Raw genomic sequence first — 23,478 nt, forward strand, 5'->3', positions numbered from 1 at the left:
AACAAATGGTGCTGGGATAATTGGCTAGCCACATGTAGGAGAATGAAACTGGATCCTCATCTCTCACCTTATACAAAAATCAACTGAAGATGGATTAAGGACTTAAACCTAATACCTGAAACTATAAAAATTCCAGAAGATAACATTGGAAAAACCTTTCTAGACACTGGCTTAGGCAAGGATTTCATGACCAAAAACGCAAAAACAATTGCAATAAAAACAAAGATAAATAGGGGGGACTTAATTAAACTAAAGAGCTCTTGCACTGCAAAAGGAATAGTCAGCAGAGTAAACAGACAATCCACAGAGTGGGAGAAAATCTTTACAATCTATACATCTGAGAAAGGACTAATATCCAGAATCTACAATGAACTCAAACAAATCAGTAAGAAAAAACAATCCCATCAAAAGTGGGCTGACAAAGGACTAATATCCAGAATCTACAATGAATTCCAACAAATCAGTAAGAGAAAAAACAATCCCATAAAAAAGTGGGCTAAGGACATAAATAGAAAATTCTCAAAATAAGATATACAAATGGCTAACAAACACATGAAAAAATGCTCAACATCACTAATGATCAGGGAAATGCAAATCAAAACCACAATGCGATACCTTACTCCTGTAAGAATGCCCACAATCAAAAAATCAAAAAATAATAGATGTTGGCATGGATGCAGCAATCAGGGAACACTTCGACACTGCTGGTGGGAATGTAAACTAGTACGGCTGCTATGGAAAACAGCGTGGAGATTCCTTAAAGAACTAAAAGTAGAACTACCAATTTGATCCAGCAATCCCACTACTGGGTATCTACCTAGAGGAAAAGAAGTTATTATTCGAAAAAGATACTTGCACATGCATGTTTATAGCAGCACAATTCACAATAGCAAAATCGTGGAACCAACCCAAATGCCCATCAAACAATAGGCATGTAAAGAAACCCTGGTATATATATGATGGAATACTACTCAGCCATAAAAAGGAATGAATTAACAGCATTTGCAATGACCTGGATGAGATTAGAGACTATTATTCTAAGTGAAGTAACTCAGGAATGGAAAACTAAACATGGTATGTTCTCACTGATATATGGGAGCTAAGCTATGAGGACACAAAAGCATAAGAATGATACAATGGACTTTGGGGACTTGTGGGGGAAGAGCTGGGTGGGGGTGAGGGGTAAAAGACAACAAATATGGTGCAGTGTATACTGCTCAGGCAATGGGTGCACCAGGTTCTCACAGATCTCCACTAAAGAATTTACTCGTAACCAGATACCACCTGTACCCCAATAACTTATCAAAACATAGAATTAAGAAAAATAGCTGTATTGAGGAAGCTCAAAGAAATTCAAGATAACACAGAGAAGGAATTAAGCAACCAGATAAATTTAACAACAAATTGAAATAATCAAAAAGAAGCAGAAATTCTGGAGATGAAAAATGCAGTTGATCTACTGAAGAATGCATGAGTCTCTTAATAGCAGAATTAATCAAGCAGAAGAAAGAATTGGTGAGCTTGAAGACAGGCTATTTGAAAATACACAGAGAAGATTAAAAAAGAATAAAAAAAAATGAAGCATGCCTACAAGATCTAGAAAATAGCCTCAAAAGGGTGAATCTAAGAGTTATTGGCCTTAAAAAAGAAGTTAAAAAAGAGCTGGGGTAGAAAGTTTATTCAAAGGAATAATAACAGAGAACTTCCCAAACCTAGGGAAAGATATCAATATTCAAGTACAAGAAGGTTATAGAACACCAAGGAGATATAACCCAAAGCACACCTGAAAATACCAGTAACAAGTAAGAAGATCAAAGCTGTAATAAAAAAAAGTCTCTCAGCAAAGAAAACCTTAGGACCTGATGGCTTCTTCTGAATTTTGCAAACATTTAAGGAAGAACTATAGCAATCCTACTCAAACTATTCTGACAAATAGAGTATTTGGGAATATTTCCAGACTCATTGTATGAGGACAGTATTACCCTGATACCAAAACCAGACAAAGGCTTATTAAAAAAAAAAAAAAAAAAAAGAAAACTACAGGCCAATATCCCTAAAAAAAAATGATGCAAAAATCCTCAACAAAGTACTAGCAAACTAAATTCAACAGCATATTAAAAAGTTTATTCATCATGACCAAATGGAATCTATCCCGGGGATGCAAGGATAGTTCAACATATCAACATTTGTATTTGCAACATTTGCATATTGATTGATATGCAAAGCAATCAATGTGAAACATTATATCAACAGAATGAAGGACAAAAACCATATGATCATTTCAATGGATGCTGAAAAAGGATTTGATAAAATCCAACATCCTTTCATGACAAAAATTCCTAAAAACTGGCTATAAAATGGAACATACCTCAACATAATAAAAGCCATGTATGACAGATTCACAGCTAGCATTGTTGTACTGAATGTGGAAAAGTTGGAAGTCTTTCCTCTAAGATATGGAATACAACAAAGATGCCCATTTTCACCACTGCTATTCAAACTAGTACTGGAAGTCCTAGCTGGAGTACTCAGACAAGAGAAAGAAATAAAGGCCATCCAAATTGGAAAGTAAAATATCAAATGATCCTTGTTTGCAGATGATATGATCTTGTATTTGGAAAAACCTAAGGACTCCACTAAAAATCTATTTGAATTAATAAACAAATTCAGTAATGTTACAGGATACAAAATGAACATACAAAAATCAGTAGTATTTCTATATGCCAACAGCAAATAATCTGAAAAAGAAATCCAGAAAGTAGTCCCATTTACAATAGCTACAAGTATATGTGGAGAGAGAGGAGAGAGAGAAAGAGACAGAGACAGAGACAGAGACAGAGACAGAGACAGACCTGAGACCTGTAGTTGGTAAACTAGAGTCCCAGGAGATGTGATGGTATAGTATAGTTCCCCTTCTAGTCTGAGTCCAAAGGCCTAAAAACCAAGAGAGAGAGTGATTTAAGTTCCAGTCCAAGTTCAAATCCAACAACAGGAGAAAGCCAGTGTCTCAGCTTGAGGATGGGAAGAGAGAGACAGAATTATCTCTTACTCTGCATTTTTGTTTTATTCAGGCCACAATGGATTGGATGAGGCCTGTCTCAGTTCATTTTGTATTGCTATAGCAAATACTACGGACTGGATCATTTATGGAGAAAAAGAAGCATATTTGTCTTACGGGTCTGGAGGGCTGGGAAGTTTAAGAACTTGACAACTGGCATCCGTTTAGGGCCTTTGTACTGGGTCGTTCCATGGAAGAAGGTAGAAGGCAGAAGGGCAAGCAAACAAGCTTGTGAGACAGAGGAAATCAGGTTGAATTCTTTTATTTTATTTTAGTTATTGAGATGGAGTCTTGCACTGTCACCCGGGCTGGTGTGCAGTGGTGCAATCTCAGCTTGCTGCAACCTCTGCCTCCCGGGTTCAAGTGATTCCCCTGCCTCAGCTTCCTGAATAGCTAGGATTACAGGCGCCCGCCACCATGCCCAGCTAATTTTTTGTATTTTTAGTAGAGATGAGGTTTCACTATGTTGGCCAGGCTGGTCTCGAACTCCTGACCTCATGATCCACCTCCCTTGGCTTCCCAAAGTGCTAGGATTACAGGTGTGAGCTAAGTTCTGGGGTACATGTGCAGGACGTGCAGGTTTGTTACATAGGTAAATGTGTGCCATGGTGGTTTGCTGCACCTATCAACCCACCACCTAGGTATTAAGCCCAGCATGCATTAGCTATTTTTCCTAATGCTCTCCCTCCCCCACCTCTACCTCCAAGCAGGCCCCAGTGTGTTGTTTCCCTCTCTGTGTCCATGCGTTATCATTGTTCAACTCCCACTTATAAGTGAGAATATGCGGTGTTCAGTTTTTTTCCTGCGTTAGTTTGCTGATGATAATGGTTTCCAGCTCCATCCATGTCCCTGCAAAAGATATGATCTTGTTCCTTTTAATGGCTGCATAGTATTCCGTGGTGTATATGTACCACATTTCCTTTATCCAGTCTATCATTAAGGGACATTTGGGTTGATTCCATGTCTTTGCTATTGTGAATAGTGCCGCAGTGAACATTCATGAAAAAGCTCAACATCACTGAACGTTAAGAGAAATGCAAATCAAAACCACAATGAAATACCATCTCATGCCAGTTAGAATGGCGATTATTAGTCAAGAAACAACAGATGCTGGAAAGGCTGTGGGGAAATAAGAACACTTTTATACTGTTGGTGGGAATGTGAATTAGTTCAACCATTGTGGAAGATGGTGTGGTGAGTCCTCAAAGCTCTAGAACCAGAAATACCATTTGACCCAGCAATTCCATTATTGGGTGTATACCCAAAGGAATATAAATCATTCTATTACAAATATATTTTTTAAGAGGATCTCACTCTGTCAGCCAGGCTGGAGTGCAGTGTTGTGATCATAGCTCACTGCAGCCTCAAGCTCCTGTATGCAAGCACTCCTCCCACCTCAGCTTCCCAAGTAGCTGGGACTACAGGCATGTGCCACCATGCCTGGCTGATTTTTAAAAACATTTTTACAGATAGGGTCTCACTGTGTTTCACAGGCTCATCTGAAATTCCTGATCCTTCTGCCTCAGCCTTCCATTAATGGGATTAGAGGTGTGATCCACTGTGCCCAGCCTGAACTCTTCTTTTTTATCAGGAGCCTACTCCAGCAGTAATAATGCATTCCCAGAATAATGGCATTAATCCATTCATGAGGGCAGAGCCCTAATGACCTAATCACTCTTAATAGTCCTACCTTTTAATATCTTCACAATGGTAATTAAATTACAACATGAATTTTAGAGGGAACATTCAAACCATATTAAGGCCCAACCCCTCTGGAGAGGGCAATCTGTTTTACTCAGTTTACCTACTCAAATATTAATCTCATCCAGAAATACCTCACAGAAACACCCAAAATAATGTTTAAATAAAAATCTGGGCACCTGCTGGCCCACTCAAGTTGACACACAAAATTAATCACCAGAAATGTTTTGTTAGATTTATGTCTATTTCATTTTATTATGAGTAATTATAAATGGGATTGAGTATTTAATTTACATGTTCATGCATTCATTGCTAGTATATAGAAACACAATTGATTTTCATATATTGATCTTATATGCTATAACCTTGTTGAACTCACTTAATAGTTCTAGGAGTTTTTTAATATATTTTTTGGGATATTCTACATAGAATATTGGTTATCTGTAAATAGGGACAATTTATTTCTTCCTTTCTGATCTATATGGCTTTATTTCCTCTTCTTGCCTTATATAATGGATGGAATTTCCAGCATTATGTCGAATAAGTGGTGAAGAATAGACATTGTTGACTTTTTCCCTATCTTAAAGGAAAGGATTGAGTCTTTCACTATTAAAATGTTAGCTGTAGACTTTTGTCAATGCTCTTTGTCAAGTTGAGGCAGTTTCTCTCTATTCCTATTTTTCTGAGAGTTTTTATCCTAAAAGTGTGCTGAATTTTGTCACATGCTTTTTTCTGTATAAATTTATTTGATCACGTGATTTTTTTCTTCTTTTGCCTGTTAATAATGGTAAAGTACATTGATAGATTTTTGAATACAAAACCAGCTTTGCATCCCTGGAATAAATCCCTATTGGTCATGATGCATAATTCTTTTTACATATTTTAGAGAATTTTCTTGGATAATATTTTGCTATGGATCTTTGCATGAGGAATGATGGTCTGTGTTGTTGTTTTTTTTTTAACTTTGCCTGATTTTGATATCAGGATATTACTAGCTTCATAAAATGAACTAGGAAGTATTTCTTCTTCCTCCTGTTTTCCAGGAGAGATTGTTGTAGATTGGTGTCAATGTTTCTTTTTTTCTGACTTAAATGATATTATATATTTACTTACTTTTATTTTACATTGACAGATTATAGTCGTATATATTTATGGGATACACAATGATGTTAAAGTTTATGAATACAACGTGGAATAATTAAATCAAGCTAGTTAACATATTTATCACCTCAAACACTTATATTTTTGGGTGAAAACATTTGAAATTTACTCTTAGCACTTTTGAAATGTACAGTACACACCATTATTAAGTATATTCACCACACTGTGCTATAGATGTCAAAACAACAACTTATTCTTCCCATCTGAGGCTTTGTATCTTTTGACCATAATCTCCTCCATTTCCCCTACCCTCAGCCTGTGGTAAACACCATCCTACTCCCTGCTTTTTTCAGTTTGATTGCCTGAGATTTTGCTTATGAGAACATGTGTCATTTGTTTTTTTGTGCCTGGCTTATTTAACTTAGCATAATGTTCTTCGATTCTATCCATGTTGTGTCATAGAACAGAATTTCTTTCTGAATAGTATTCCATTGCATATAGATACCACATTTTCTTTATCTGTCCATCTGTTAATGGGCACTTGGGTTGATTCCATAACCTGGCTGTTGTGAATAGTGCTGCAGTGAACACTGGAGTGCAGATATCTCTTTGACATACTTACTTCAAATCTTTGGGTAAATATTTAGAAGTGGGATTGTTGAATCATAAGGTAACTTTATTTTTAGTTTTTTGAGGAACCTCCATACAGTTTTCCATATGGCTGTACTAATTTATATTCTCACAACATTGTATAAACCTTCCCTTTTCTCCACATCCTTGCCAACACTCATTTATTTTTCATTTTTTTGATAGTAGACTTTTGGAGGTGATATTTCATTGTGTTTTTTAATAGGCTGGACTTTGGCTAGATCATTATAGTTTTAATTTGCATTTCCCTAATGATTAGTGATGTTGAGCTTTTTTTTTTTTTTTTTTTTTTTTTTTTGAGACGGAGTCTTCCTCTGTTGCCCAGGCTGGAATGCAGTGGTGCGATCTCAGCTCCCTGCAACCTCTGCCTCTTGGGTTCAAGCGATTCTCCTGCCTCAGCCTCCCAAGTAGCAGGGACTACAAGCATGTGCCACCATGCCCAGCTAATTTTTTTTTTTTTTTTTGTATTTTTAGTAGAGATGGGCTTTCACTGTGTTAGCCAGAATGGTCTTGATCTCCTGACCTTGTGATCTGCCTGCCTTGGCCTCCCAAAGTGCTGGGATTAGAGGCGCCCGGCTGAGCATTTTTCCATACATCTGTTGGCCATTTGTGTGTCTTCTTTTGAGAAATGTCTATTCAGGCCTTTGGCCCATTTTCTAATTGGGTTGTTTTTATTTTTGAGATGGAGTCTTGCTTTGTCACCCAGGCTGGAGTGCAGTGGTGTGATCTCGGCTCACTACAACCTCTGCCTCCCAGGTTCAAGTGATTCTCCTGCCTCAGCCGCCTGAGTAGCTGGGATTACAGGTGTCCGTGACAACACCTGCCTAATTTTTGTATTTTTCTTTCCTTTTTTTCTTTTCAGTAGAGACGGGTATCTATATGCTCCATCCATGTCCCTGCAAAGGGTGTGATCTTGTTCCTTTTTATGGCTGCATAGTATTCCATGGTGTATATGTACCACATTTTCTTTATCCAGTCTATCATTGATGGACATTTGGGTTGATTCCATGTCTTTGCTGTTGTGAATAATGCTGCAATGAACATACGCGAAAAAGGTCAACATCACTGATCTTTAGAGAAATGCAAATCAAAACTACAGTGAGATGGTTTGACATGGTTGCAGTTTAATTCTTCTGCATATGGATGTCCAGTTTCCCCAACACTATTTATTGAAGAGACTATCCTTTATCCATTGTGTATTCTTGACAACTTTGTCAAAAATCAGTTTGTACACGCATAGGTTCATTTATGGGTTCCCCTTTCTGTTTTATTGGTATATATGTCTGATTTTTTTTTCTGGCCAATATCGTGCTGTTTTAATTGCTATAGATTTAAGATTAGTTTAAAATTAGGTAGTTTGATGCCTCCTGCTTTGTTCTTTTTGCCCATAATTGCCTTGACTATTCAAGGTTTTGTGGTTTCATACGAATTTTAAGATTTTAAAAAATTTCCATAAAAATAACATTAGTATTTTGATGGCAATTGCATTGAATCTGTAAACATTTTAACAACATTAGTTCTTCCAATCCATGAACATAGGATATTTTATCATGTATTTGTGTCTTCTTCCATTTCTTTTATTAACATTTTATAGTTTTCAGTGTATAGGTCTTTCACCTCATTGATTAAATTTATTCCTAAGTATTTTATTATTTTTTGTGTGGCTATTTAAATGCAGTTGTTCCCTTGAGTGTTTTTAGATGGTTTATTATTAGAGTATAGAAGCACTACTGATTTTTATGTGTGATTTTGTGTTCTGCAACTTTACCATATTTGTTTATTCTAACATTTTCTTCGTGGAATCTTTAGGTTTTTCCTTAAGAACATGTTGTCAGGAAACAGCAACAACTTTAGTTTTTTCTTTCTTATTAGGATGTCTTTTATTTCTTTTCCTTAACTGCTCAGACAAGGACTTCTACTACTATGTTGAATAGAAGTGGTGAGAGTGGACATCCTTGTTTTGGGTCTCAGAAAGTACTTCAATTTTTTACTATGCTTACCAACAAGCATAGTGTTAGCTGCAGCCTCATTATATATGGCCTTAAATGTGTTGAGGTACAATCCTTCTATCCTTAATTTGTTGAGGATTTTATCATGAAAGAATGTTGAATTTTATTAAATGCTTTTTCTGCACCTGATGAGATGATCATACGATTTTTGTCCTTCATTCTGTTAATGTGATGTATCACATTTATTGATTTGTGTATGTTGAACCATTCTTGCATCCCAGGGTTAAATCCTAGTTGACTTTGGTAAATAATCCTTTTAATGTGTTGTTGAATTTGGTTTGCTAGAATTTGGTTTAAGATACTTACATCCATGTTTAAGGATATTGGCATGGCCTGTAATTTTCTTTCCTGTAATATTTTTGTTTGGCTTTTGGATCATGATAGTGCTGGGCCTCATAAAAAGAGTTTGGAGGCATTCTCTTTCCAATTTTTGGAAGGGTTTATGAGGTACTGGTATTAGTTCATAAAATTTTTGGTAGTGTTCTGCTGTGAAGCAACCAGGTCCTGCACTTTTTTTGATGGGAGATTTAGTTACTGATTCAGTTGTCTTTCTTATTTTTGGTCTGTTCAGATTTTCTGTTTCTTCATGATTAAGTCTGGGTAGGTGATATGTGTCTAGGATTTATTTATTTATTCTAGGTAATCCAATTTGTTGGTGCATAATTGTTCATAACAGCCTCTTAGGATCCTTTGTATTTCTGTGGTATCAGTTGTAATGTTTTCTCTCTCATTTTTGATTTTGAGTTTTCTCTCCTTTTTTCTTAGTCTAGCTAAAGATTTGTCAATTTTATCTTTAAAAAAAACCTAACTCTTAGTTTTGTTGATCTTTTAAATTATTTTTTCTAGACTCTATTTTATTTGTTGCTGCTCTGGTCTTTATTATTTCTTTCCTTCTGCTAATTTTGGCTTAGTTTGTTTTCTGTGTAGTTTCTGAAGGCGTAACATTAAGTTGTTTATTTGAGATCTTTATACTTTTTTGATGTAAGCATTTATTGCTATAAACTTCCTTCTTTGAACTCCTTTTACTGCATCCCATAAGTTTTGGTCTGTTGCATTTCTATTTTTGTTTGTCTCAAGATATTTTTAAATTTCATTTTTAATTTCTTCATTGGCTTTTTCGTTGTGCAAGAACATGTTGTTTTGTGTCTATGTATTTGTGAATTACCAAAAATTCCTCCTTTTATTGATTTCTATTTTCATACCACAGTAGTTAGAAAAAATAATTGATACTGTTTCAGTCCTCCTAAAATTGCTGAGACTTGTTTTGTGGCCTAACATGTGATCTCTCCTGGAGGGTGTTTTGTGTGCACTTGAGAACAATGTATATTCTGTTGCTGTTAGATGCAATATTCTGTATTTACCTATTAAGTCCATTTGGTCTAAAGTGTTAAGTTCAATTTTTTTTATGAATTTTCTGTCTGAATGATCTGTCCATTGTTGAAAATTGGTTATTGATATCCCCTACTATTATTGTATTGTAACCTATCTCTCCCTTTAAATTCTTTAATATTTGCTTGATATATTTAAGGTCTCAAATGTTGGGTGTGTATATAGTTATGACATATCATCTTGATGAGTTGACCCCTTTATCATTATTTAATGTCATTTTTCATCTATTTTTATAGTTTTTGACTTAAAGTCTATTTTATCTGATATAACTATAACCACCCCTGTTCTTTTTCTTTCCATTTGTGTGGAATGTCTTTTCCATCCCTTCACTTTCAATCTATGTGTGTCCTTAAAAGTGCAGTAAATGAGTGTCTTGCAGGCAGCCTATAGTTCAGTCTTTGTTTTTTAAATCTATTTAGTCACTTTTTATTGAAGAATTTAATCCATTTATATTCAAGGTAATTATGGACAGGTAAGGACTTAACAACTGCTGTTTTGTTCATTGTTTTCTGGTTGTTTTATAGATACTTTGTTTCTTTCTTGCTGTCTTCCTTTGTGTTTTGATGGTTTTCTGTAGTGGCATGCTTTGAATTTGTTCTTTTTTTGTGTTGGGTCTAGTATAGATTTTTGCTTTGTGGTTACCATGAGGCTTACATAAAACATCTTATGCCTGTAACAGACTATTTCAAACTGATAACTTAACTTTGATTGCATACAACAATTCTACACTTTTATTCTTCTTGAAACACATTTTATGTTTTCGATGCCAGAATTTGCGTCATTTCGTAATATGTATCCACTGACGAATTATTTTAGCTATAGTTATTTTAATAGATTTGTCTTAATCCTTGTACTAGGAATTGCTTTACACGTTACCATTGTAGTCCTACAGTATTCTGAATATGGTTCAGTATTATTTATAGCATTGAATTTTGTGCTCTTGATTTATGTTATCATTTAGTGGCTTTTTCAGCTTAAGTAACTCTCTTTTACAATTCCTGTAAAGCAGGCCTGGTACTGATTAACTTGCTTAGCATTTATTTGTCTGGGAAAGTTTTTATTTCTGCCTCATTTCTGAATGACAGCTTTGCTGGGGAAAATATTTTTGGCTTGCAGGGGTTGTTTTTTTTTCCCCCTTAGCATTTTTAATATATCATCCCATTCTTCCCTGGCCTACAGAGTTTCTGCTGACAAATCTGCTGATTGTTATACTGGGATTTTTTTTTGTATATGATCTGTTTCTTATCTCTTGCTGCTCTCAGAAATTTTTCTTTGTCTTTGATTTTGGTAGTTTAATTATTATGTGTGTTGTTGAACTCTGGGTTAAATTTAATTGGAGATCTCTGCACTTCCTGGATATTGGTATTTTTCCCTAGATTAGGGAAGTTTTTAGCCGTTATTTCTTTAAATGTGCTTTCTGACCTGTCTTCTCATTTTTCTACTTTGTAACTTCTATTTTGAGACTCTTGGATCTCTTGACAGTGTTCTATAATTCATGTAGGCTTTTTTTATTCTTTTTTATTCTTTTCCCTTTGCTTTTCTGACTGGATAATTTCACATGTTCTGTCTTTGACCTTATTCATTCTTTCTTCAGTTTGACTGAGCCTGCTGTTGAAACTCTCTATTGCATTATTTAGTTCAGTCATTGTATCTTTATTTTTAGGATTTGTATTTTGCTTCTTTTATTATTTCTTAGTCAGACTTCTAATTTTGTTTGTATATAGTTTTCTAAGTTAATTTTTTATACATATCTTTTTGTAGTTTACTGAGCTTCTTTAAGAGGATATTGCTGAATTATTTGTCTGCTATTTAATAGGTTTCCACTTCTTTAGGGCCAAGTGATGGGGCTTTGTTAGTTTCTTTGGGAGGTGTCATGATTTCCTGAGTCTTTGTAATCCCATGTTCTTGTGTTGATATCTGTGCCTGTAAGGAGACAGACACCTCTTTCAGCTTTTATAGGTTTTTTTTTTCTTTTTTGAGACAGAGTCTTGCTCTGTGGCCCAGGCATGATTGTGGTTCACTACAGTCTCAACCTCCTGGGCTCAAGCAATCCTCCTCACCTTCCTGAGTAGCTGAGACCACAGGTGCATGCCACCACATCCACTGAATTATTATTATTATTATTTTTTGTGGAAACAGTGCCTCACTGTGTTGCCCAGGCTGGTCTTGAACTCCTGGGCTCAAGTGATCTACCTGCTTCAGCCTTCCAAAGTGTTGGGATTAGAGGCATGAGTCACTGTGCTTGGTCATAGATTTTCTTTGGCAGAGATACACCTTTCACTGTTTAGCTTGTTATTCTGAGTGGACCAACTGGTAATGACCTTGGTCAGGCAGAACTTGCTTTTGGGTTCTGAAGATTGCTGAGCTGCTGTCTTTAATCTGAGTTAGGGTAGGGAAGCTGGCTGGGCTCTAGTCTCTGGTGAGACCCCGACTGAGCTCTGTAATCAAGCAGAACTGCTGGGTGGACACTGCAATTGTCTTTTATCTGGCTGAGCCACAACATATATTCCCCTGGCCTAATGGTACCACTGATTGAGTTCTGCAGTTGGATGGGCACTGCTTAGGATGGAGGGGACCAGCTGATATGCTTAGTAGAAATACACAGATGAGGTTTGCCTTCCTGCTTATGCAGGGCCTTGGGGTGGGCTTTGAGCCTGAACTGAGTGCTGTTTAACCTGCTGGGTGTAGAAGAACTAGCTCCTGTGCTTTGTTATATTGCGCTGTGGTGGGTATTTCTCTCTCTGTGGGGTGTGGGGGCAGGGTCTGAGGCTGGACTGGAGGCTGAGCCATCTAGGGATATAAGCCAGGTAGAATGTCCCACCACTTCTGGGAGTGACCAGCTAGGATTTGTGAGGGAGCTATGCTGTTAGCTGGTACCTCAGATTGTGTACTACTGCTGGCAGGTACACAGAGCTGCCACCAAGATCTGTAGGCTGGTTGCCATGGGCTCTGTCTCCTTGCTTTATCTCTACCTGACCCTAGGTGGTCTAGCCATGCTGTTACCCTCTGTGTTCCTTATGAAGTGAGACTGGAGTGGACTTCTTGGGAAGCATATCAGAATGCCAGGGAAACTGGATGTCTGTTTTCTATTCTATTTTCCCACTGTAGAAACTGTGGGCCCTGGGAAATTTTTTCTTTGTTGAACTGAGCCATCTTGGGGAAAGGAGGAGCAGTGGGATCAAAGTGAGATAATTTCTCTTATCCTTCAAAGGCAGGTTTTTTTTTGTTTGTTTGTTTGTTTGTTTGTTTGTTTGTTTTGGTTCTGTGTTCTGTGGTCCATGCAGCTTTCTCAGGCCTTTCCAAGTTTTGGGAACACAAGGGTATTCTTGTCTGTGAATAGTTGCTAGTTGAACTTTCTTTGGGAGGTAATAAAGGCCTGAGACCCTGTATTTTGCCCTTTTACTGATATCAGTCTGTGTTAATTCTTCTTTAAACATTTGGTAGAAATGTCCAGTGAAATAATCTGGGCCTGGAGATTGCTTCTTTGGAAGTTTTTAAATTATGAATTCAATTTTCTTTTTTTTTCAGATTATCGATTTTTTAAATTATTATTATTATACTTTAAGTTTTAGGGTACTATGCAGCCATGAAAAATGATGAGTTCATGTCCTTTGTAGGGACATGGATGAAATTGGAAATCATCATTCTCAGTAAACTATCGCAAGGACAAAAAACCAAACACCACATGTTCTCACTCATAGGTGGGAATTGAACAATGAGAACACATGGACAGAGGAATGAATTCAATTTTCTTGATAGGTATAGGGCTACTGAGATTATCTGTTTCACATTGGGTGAGTTGTTGTAGTTTGTGTTTTTTGAGGAATTGGTACGTTTCATCTAAGTTGTCAGATTTATGTATAGAATTATTCATAATATTCCCTTATGATACCTTTGATGTCTACAGAATCAATCTTGATATCCCCTATTTCATTCCTGTTCCTGATACTTTGTGTCTTTTCACTTTTTTTCAGTCTTATTTGAAGTTAGGTTTATTGATGTTTTTAAAGAATCAGCTCTTTGTTTCATTAATTTTTCTCTATGGTTTTTCTTTTCTCCATTTCATTGATTTCTGCTCCTATCATAATTTCTTTCCTCTGTTTGCTTTGGGTTTCATTTGTTCTTTGTTTTCTAAGTTCTTAAAGTGAGAGCCTAGATTATTGATTTCGCAATGCCTCTTTAATGTAAGCATTCAGTGCTATAAATTTCTGTCAGCACTGGTTTGGCTGTATACCACATATTTTGATATGTTGTATTTTCATTCAGTTCACTGAATTTTTAATTTTCCTCGAGTCTTTCTCTTTGACCCATTTTGCAGTGTTTTGTTCAATTTCCAGTGTTTAGATATTTTATTATTTTTTCCTATTACTAATTTCTAGTTTGATTTCATTGTGGTGAGAAATTGGTCTGTTTGATTTTTAAAAAATGTGTTGAGTTGTTGTTGTTGTTGTTGTTGTTGTTTCCAGGATATGGTCTTTATTGATACATGTTCCATGGGAACTTGAAAAGAATGTGTATTCTTCTATTGTTGGGTGGAGTATTCTATAACACTGCTTAGATCCACTTGGTAGAAAAGTTGTTTAGCTTTCTATATCTTTGCTGATCTTCTGCCTAGTTGTTCTGTCAGTTGTTGAGAAAGTGCTGAAGTCTCCAGCTGTAATTGTGGATTTGTCTCTTTTTCCTTTCAGTTCAGCTTTTGTTTGACATTTTGCAGCCCTATTGTTTGGTGCATACCCTTTTAGAATTATTCTGTCTTCTTGGTGGATTGATGCTTTTAACATTGTATAGTGTCCCTCAGTATTTCTGGTAGTTTTCTTTGTTCTTTGTTCTGGTAGTTTCTTTATTTGGTATTAATATAGCCACTATGTTTTCTTTTGATTAGTGTTTACACAATATATCTTTCCCATCCTTTTACTTTTGATATGCCTATTATTTGAAGTGAGTTTCTTACAGACAGCATATAGTTGTGCCATGGATTTTTTTGTTTGTTTTTTTGTTTTGTTTTGTTTTTGAGATGGAATTTCACTCTTGTTGCCTAGGCTGGAGTGCAATGGCAAGATCTCAACTCACCACAACTTCCGCCTCCCGGGTTCAAGCCATTCTCCTGCCTCAGCCTCCCAAGTAGCTGGGATTACAGGCGCACACCACCATGCCCGGCTAATTTTGTATTTTTAGTAGAGATGGGGTTCTCCATGTTGGTCAGGCTGGTCTCGAACTCCCAACCTCAGGTGAGCTTCCTGCCTCGGCCTCCCAGAGTGCTGGGATTACAGGTGTGAGCCACTGTTGCCTAGCATATGCCATATTTTAAAATACATTCTACCAATCTCTGTCTTTTAATTGCCATATTTAGACTATTTAAATTTAATCTGATTATTTATATGGGCTTTAAGTTGTAAGCCATTTTTTTTATTCTGTTCGTTCTCTCTGCTGTTTGTTTCTATGTTTTATTTTTCCTGCCTTGAACATTTTTAAGAATTCCATTTTGATTTATCTATAGTATTTTTCAATATGTCTCTTTGTGTAGCTTTTTTAGTGGTTGCTATAGTATAAGATTATATATATATTACAGTCTACTGATGTTATAATTTTATCAGTTTGAATGATATGTAGAAACTTTCATGTTTCTTTACCTTCCTGTTTGTAATATATTGTCTTAAATAGTTTTTATGCATACATTTGAAACTTTATCAAACATTGTTATAATTTTTGCTTCTGTCATCAAATAGAATTTAGAAAATTCATGAGAGGAATATTCTGTTTGATTATATTTTTGTTTATCATGTTCTTTCTTCCTTTTTAATGTTGCAGTGTTCCTTCTTTTATTGTTTGGTTGTTTGATTTCTGTTTAAAGAACTTTCTGTAGCCATATTTTTAGTGTGGGTCTGTTAGTATACAGGTTCTACTTTTCATTTGTCTTAGAACGTCTTAATTTCCTCTTCATTCATGAACATTTTTGCTAGATATAGGATTCTGGGTTGACAGTTCCTTTCTTTCAGCACTTGAAAAACATTGTGTGACTTTCTTCTAACCATGGTCATTTGAATTGTTTTTCTCCTATGGATAAAGTGTTTTTCCTCTTGCTGATTTCAAGGTTTTTTCTTTGTGTTTAGTTTTCAGAAGTTTGACTTTGACATGTTTTTGGTGTGGATTATTTTGTCTTTATTCTGTTTTGAGTTCCCTTAGCTTCTTGAATCTCTAGGTTTGTGTTTCTTTTGACAAATTTGGAATGTTTCAGCCATTATTTCTTCAAGTATTTTTTTTTTTAGCCCTGTCTTCTTTAACCTCTCCTTCTGGGACTTCAGACACAAATGCTAGATCAATTTTATAATCCCACAGGTGAATGAAGGTTTGTTCTTTTTTTTTTTTTTTCTTTTTTCTGAGGTGGGATCTCACTCTGTTGCCCAGGCTGGATGGAGTGCAGTGGCATGATCTCAGCTCACTGCAGCCTCTACCTCCTGAGTTCAAACGATTCACTTCCCTCATTTTTTTCCTGTTGTTTGGATTGCATAATTTATGTTTTTCTGTCAGTTCACTGATTTGTTTCTCTGTCTGCTTCATTCTGTCATTGAGTTCAGCCATTGAGTTTTTTTTGTATTTCTGTCATTGTATTTTTTAATTCTAAAATTTCCATTTGGTTCTTCTTTATGTCTTCTATTTCTTTACATATTACCACCCAATGGGGACAAATGTCCAAGCTCCCTACTTCAGTTTCCCTGAAAACCCTCCATGGAGGCATTAAGGGTGCTTTATAACAATTCACCAAGAGTAGAACTCTAGGCTTCCCACTGACCCTTTTTTCCCTATGGCATTTGGCTGGAATAGAATAGTTATCGAATAAAAGTTTCTGTCATGGTAGGCTGCCCCTTTCCTGGTCCTTTAGCTAGGCAATGGACTTTTTTTTTTTTTAATCTGTACCCATTGGCGTTTCTAGGTTACTGGTTTCTTCAGCTTCAAGTCTGGGATATATTGGGCAAAAAGGAAACCCAGGGAACTTACCACCATGTCATTTCTAGCCACCTTGCTTTTTCTTCCCCACCCTTCAATGTTTTGTTATGTTTGCTTTAATGTAATGTCCAGAGTTTTTAGTTGTACTGAGCAGTAAAACAGTGAAAAGTATGTCTATTTCATTTTTCCTGGAATCCAGTACCTGAGTAGTAATAGTCTTTTGTGATATGTTCCCTAATACCCAGCAGTTCTAGTTTGTGTGTGAGTTATGTTGTGGAGAATGTATTTTGTTTTCTTTTGTAATAAAATAGAAATTTGTGGTGAATTCCTTATAATACTTATGCTTGAAGACAGTCATCAGTCAATGTGTTATTTTTTTCTTGTTAGATCATGCATTACAGCTATAAATTTTTTCATGTTTTCCATGCCTATAGTTATTTTTATGTGCACCCTCCCCATTTTCATATCTATGTTGAAATATGCAAACCAAAATTTAATACATTTTTAAAGGAAAAAAAGAAAGCTTTAAACAAACACTGAATAATGTGAGTTTATTATTACCTAAATTTTGATAGTCACCATCTTGTTAATAAGTACTGAGATTGTGTTTGCTTTTTGTGATATTTTACTTTCTATGATGTGCCACATGTCTTTAGCATAATCTCTTTTTCTGTATCAGATACTTAGAGGGATGTCATCAAATTCTTCTATGACTAGGAGTAGTTTTATGTTATGTGAGGCTTATATAATTGGGGAGGGTTCTTTAAGATAAATAGTACAAGGCTTTGGAATAGGCAGTGTAAATGATGAACCCATGAAGCTTAAACTTCACTAGCTTTATAATATATAAAGCCCTCAACTGTAAAATAGAAAGAGGGAAGAGATAATTTCTGATTATTATATTTTCTGTATATTATGAGCTTGATAACCCTTAAAAATCAGCCACTCCAAAGGGATGATTCAGGGCAGAAGTCCCCCTCTTCTCCACACACTGTTGCACAGGGAAGTTTGCTTTACTTGATCCAATTTTTAAGGAACCTCATCTCTTCTACTCTGCCCTTTTCTCCCCGAGTTCTGTCTTTCTGTTATTTCCAGTGTAGTTAGTAGTGATTTGTCTCACCTTTATTTAGACTAGTAGAAAAAGACAGATAAAAGAAAAGGGCCCATCTTCTTTATTTTATGATATAGGTAGTTGGAGATTTTAAGAAACATTCTCCCAGTGGTCCCTATTCCAGTTAGTATTGTTTCCTATAATTGGGAGAAAAGTACATTGAAGGAATTTATTTAGATTTAGTGAATTTAATACATTGAGGACATATAATTCATTTTACATAATACTTCCTCATATTTCAAAATTATTAGAACTCAGTGGCATAACAGAATGTCATTACTTGTTTCCCCCTCCTATTTTGTTCTTATTCAACACACCTAGTCCCCAAAACCTTGCCTACAACATTATCATCCAAACACAACCCCTAATGCTTACTAATCATTATCGTTTAAAATGGGGTAGATGTAAAACATTTCAACTATAAGGATATTAACTAAACCACACTACTTACCTCTAAATTAATTTTATTCATTTTGAATGAGAGATATATCTGTAGAAATTTTTTAACTTTCAGGTCATTTTTGTACCACCATCTTTTTTTGGCTGATGACTTGTTTCAAACCTGTTTGGTTTATATAAGAGGACTTTGTGAAGATGCAATTAATCTCAAAAATTATAATGACCATGAAAATAATCTATCTGCCATATGCCTTGTAAAGGTGAGTAGAAGTATACTACTATAAGCTAATATTGGTATATAGAAACTAGGAAGAAAAATAGCATTTTGAATTAAAAAATACAGATTTCTAAATTCATAAATAAACCATCTCTTTCGATTACTACCGTTCTAAAATATCTGCAAAGAATGTGAGTTCCTTGCAATAAATTTTAATAGTTAACATTTCTTGTAATTTCTTCCTTATGCCTAACCTAAGTCTATAAGACCCTTTATTTTCAAATGTATTTCCGAATGTGTAATATGATTTAAAATAATCAGTTATCTCTTATACATAATTGATATTCTTCCTCTAGTATAGCATGTCAAGATAGTATCATAAGCTTCAACTCAGAAGTTTTGGTTAAATTTATGAATTCTCCTATTTCAAGATTCTAGAAAAAGTGAGCCTGTTAATGGAATAACTTAATTTATATAAGATAGCTCTTTTGAGTGGTTAAGTACCTAGAACTAATTAAGTCTACAATTGAACAAGATTCTAGCAGATTTTACTTCACTCACTCAATGTATGGGGAAAAAAGTAAAATTGATAGAGTTATCTAGACTAAGAAAGAGGAATTGTTAAGGGGCTTAGACAAGTTAAATATTTGAAAATTAGCTCGAAAATCAGTTGTGTTGACTGCATGTAACAAGATCAATACTTGTAAATCAACATCGTATGTTTAGAATTGATTATGTGTAATGACAGATACATAGTAGGTGCTCACCAATAGTCTTTGAGTGAATAAAAGAATAAACTAATGAAGGAGGAGGAATTATCACATAGATGTATATTTTTTATACTTATATAGAGAATGTTTATGTTTCAAAAGGATTAAATTCACCTTAAGTAGGAGACATTTCACAGAGGAATCTCTTTGATTTGGTTTTTATGTAGAAGGAAATAGGATATGGTTTTCTTGTAGAAGGAAATAAAATAATCTGTAATATCAGATTATTTTGTAAATGGCTGAGTGACAAAATTTATTAATTTTTAATGATGGGTGGGAAGGCATAAAAGACTTTAAAATACCTTTGAAGTCTGTGCCTTAAATGCCACCAAATGATAGAGAACATTACTAGTGATAGAGAAGAAATGTTAGGACTCTTTCCTAGAGACCTCAGGCCATGTCAGCTTTAATATAGAACATCAGGAGGAAGAGAACAAACTTTTCCAGACAGTATGTAAGTATTTATTATCTATTATATGCGAAATGCTGTGCAAAAGAGATGAATACAAAGTGAAAAACAAAGCTTTGCTATTTTCAATCTGCTTACAGTTCATGGGAAGAAATAATTCTTTATATATAAAAATGAAAACTAATTCTAGAGATAGTTTCTTTGTTATGCTAATCATTCTACCTAACCCATTAGCAAAGTATAAGGTAAGGAATGTTTACTGGCAAATAATACTTGTAAAACAGTCATGTTACAGAAATCCAGAGGAGGCAGAGATTAGCCTTATTTGGAATTAAAGTTAGGTCATGCCTCATATTTTGAGCTAGGCTGTGCTGGATTTGAATAGCCATAGAAGAGGAGATAAGGCTTTTAAATAAAGAATATAAATGTGAGTAAGGCATTCAATATATATTTGATTTGAAAGTTAGATTGGCTCATGAATGTCAGGCCAAGAATAACACAGTAGGGGAAAAGTAGGATTTCAACCTGCCCATAGGGCAGGGGCACTCCTAGTGGTGATTGTTATGAGGGCAATTTACAAGAATGGGAATTTCTGATACTGTATGTGGAAAAGCCAGGTTTAGATGGAGGAAGAGTGGAGATTCATATCCTGGAGAACCAAGCTGGGGTCAGGAGTCAAGGTGGCCAGTTGTGCATTAGAATCGGAAGGTTATGCATAGCCCAGGGATGCAGATGCCAATGAAGACTGACAACGAGGATGTAAGGAGAATGAAGCAAGGTTATGAATGTGAAGAATGGGATTGTTCAGAAGTTAATGCCGTTAATGGTGGTCATACGTGTACTCTGCTGGGATGAAAGCATACCTTTAAAGAGGGTGGAATTTCTCGAACTGGAAGGTAAAGAACATATGTTCTTTGTTCAAATCTTCACTTTCAAGTGGATGGAATATTATGTTTTTGTATTACCAGAGATTAATTCTTAGCTTAGTTGATGGAGATTTCTCCCAGCTAGATTCTGAATGAATTTTGAATAAAATTCACCTATTTGAACAAAACTTAGTTCTAGAGAGATTGCCACTTATCCAAGTTGACAGAATCATCTAGAGTTGAGACTTTGGATCATGTTTCATATTCGGGTGAAGTTTGTTTTATTGAGCAGTATTTGGGTGCTTAATAAAAATGTAAATATTTGTGTCCCACTCCTTTTGCAAGAGAGGGCAGTGAGTGGTGCTGGTAATCTACATTTTAAATCGGTTCCTCAGTTAACTGTTAGGCAGGATAAATTTTGAGAACTACTTTTAAAGAACAACTATTCAAAGTTTTTGAACATGGTATTTTAGGAAAATTATTGTGATATTGGTTTTTGGGAAAAATTGGTAGTGGAGAGATACTTGAGTGATAGAGATCAATTATTATAGTACTGGATAAATGCAGGTATAAGCAATAAAGACTTTAATTAGGATGTCATCAGTAAGACCAGAAAGGCAGGGAAATTTTGAAAAATTTGGACCTGGTAGTCAGATATGGGACCAGGAGAATGGAAACTTAAAGAGTAAATCCAAAATTTTAAGCAAGAGCAGTACTTTTCAATCTTTTTTGTTGTGGGAAGATACATTTATTAATTTTTATAATATAACTATATGATAAAAGATAAACATATCTGTATATTTATTAATGAAAATGTATTTTGTTAAGAGAATTAACACAGTAGTGGAAAAACAATACTGAAAGAAGGAAGAATGATGTAATATACACGCATGTATGGAACATTATGATTTTGTATTACCAGAGATTAATTCATAGCATAGTAGATAGAGATTTCTTCCTTATAGATTCTGAATGAATTCTGAATAAAATTAACCTTATTTGAATTATTTAATTTTACCCTCTTTATGCTGTGTTGTGGGAAGTTGGGGACCCCAAACGGAGGGACCGGCTGAAGCCACGGCAGAATAACATAAATTGTGAAGATTTCATGGACATTTATTAGTTCCCCAGATAAATACTTTTATAATTTCTTGTGCCTGTCTTTACTGCAATCTTTGAACATAAATTGTGAAGATTTCATGGGCATTTATCACTTCCCTAATCAATACTCTTATAATTTCCTATGCCTGTCTTTACTTTAATCTCTTAATCCTGTCATCTTCGTAAGCTGAGGATGTATGTCCCCTCAGGACCCTGTTATGATTGCGTTATCTGTACAAATTGTTTGTAAAACATGTGTGTTTGAACAAGATGAAATCTGGGCACCTTGAAAAAGAACAGGTAACAATGATTTTCAGGAAACAAGGGAGATAACCATAAGGTCTGACTGCCTGCAGGGCCGGGCAGAACAGAGTCATATTTCTCTTCTTGCAGAGAGTGAATAGGAGAAATATCGCTGAATTCTTTTCCCAGCAAGGAATAACCCTGGGAAGGGAATGCATTCCCAGGGGAAGGTCTCTAAAATGGCCACTCTGGAAGTGTCTGTCTATTGGGGTTGAAGATAAGGGATGAAATACGCCCTGGTCTCCTGCAGCGCCCTCAGGCTTGCTAGGATTAGGAAATTCCAGCCTGGTGAATTCTAGTCAGATTGGTTGTCTGCTCTCAAACCCTGTTTCCTCTTAAGACATTTATCGATGACAATGCATGCCCAGTGGGACATGGAACCTCATCAGTAATTCTAATTTTGCCCTGGCCTTGTGATCTTGCTCTCCCATTTGCCTTGTGATATTGTATTGCCTTTTGAAGCATGTGATCTCTGTGACCCACTCCCTATTCGTACACTCCCTCCCCTTTTGAAATTCCTAATAAAAACTTGCTGGTTTTGCGGCTCGGGGGCATCACGGAATCTGCCGATATGTGATGTCACCCCCAGAGGCCCAGCTGTAAAATTTCTCTCTTTTGTACTCTTTCTCTTTATTTCTCAGACCGGCTGACACTTAGGGAAAATAGAAAAGAACATACGTTGAAATATTGGGTGCTGGTTTCCCCAATAATGCTGTATTTTATCTTTGTGTTTTAAATTGTTACAGATAATGGTGACTTCAAAAGTAAAAGTAGTTTCTGGGATTGGTGGATTCTCTGCATGCATAAATGTTTAAAAAACACATCAGCTCTTGAATTTTCTGCTTCAGTTTAATCTTACTTATTGTTTAAAACACCAATGTATTTTTCTGTATTTTAATCAAGATTTAGTTAGATTTAACAAGTGTTTAAATTTGAAAAACATGTAAGTCATATAGGATATACAGAAGAAAATGTAAAATATGGAGTCTTCTTTATGACCTGAAAAGACCAAATATTTTATCTTTTTTAAATATGAATTTTGACTTTCTAACACTGAACATTTACTATCATCTAATTAGCTGGATAGTTCTCGAACATATTCTCTAGATGAATTTTGTGAAGAGCAGTTACAGCAAGCTACCCAGGCATTGAAACAACTTGAGGACATCAGGAATAAAGCAATTTCAGAGATGAAAAGTACTTTTCTAAAGGTAATTCTTTAATTATATCATATTTATCAAAGTTGCAATTTACTAGCTGAAGCAATTGATCCAAATTGCATCCCTGGAAAAAGTATCTGAAATGGAAAGGTAAGGAACAAAGGTGGTTAATTAACCAACTAACTGGTACTATGTATTTACTATATACAAGAATTTTTCCAGGTATGATATAAAATGCAAATAAATATATATTTATATATATGTGAATGCATATATGTGTATATCTATATA

The 23,478-nt window shown here is 35.4% G+C and overlaps 1 protein-coding gene across 22 annotated transcripts in view; it reads left to right on the forward strand.

Annotated features, from left to right (window-relative positions):
- Positions 1 to 23,478, forward strand: part of DNAH14 (dynein axonemal heavy chain 14) — a 469,633-nt gene that overhangs the window by 54,653 nt on the left and 391,502 nt on the right. For 21 of the 22 annotated variants that reach the window (XM_011544062.3, XM_011544067.3, XM_017000296.2 and 18 more), the window contains exons 9-10: positions 18,477 to 18,621; positions 23,107 to 23,238. The exons of the other annotated variant lie outside the window; for it this stretch is intronic. In XM_011544062.3, coding sequence (XP_011542364.1) covers positions 18,477 to 18,621; positions 23,107 to 23,238 — 277 coding nt within the window. The remainder of the gene's footprint in view (positions 1 to 18,476; positions 18,622 to 23,106; positions 23,239 to 23,478) is intronic. 22 annotated transcript variants of the gene reach the window in all.

Source organism: Homo sapiens, chromosome 1 (assembly GCF_000001405.40).
Source record: "Homo sapiens chromosome 1, GRCh38.p14 Primary Assembly".
Classification (NCBI taxonomy): Eukaryota; Metazoa; Chordata; class Mammalia; order Primates; family Hominidae; genus Homo; species Homo sapiens.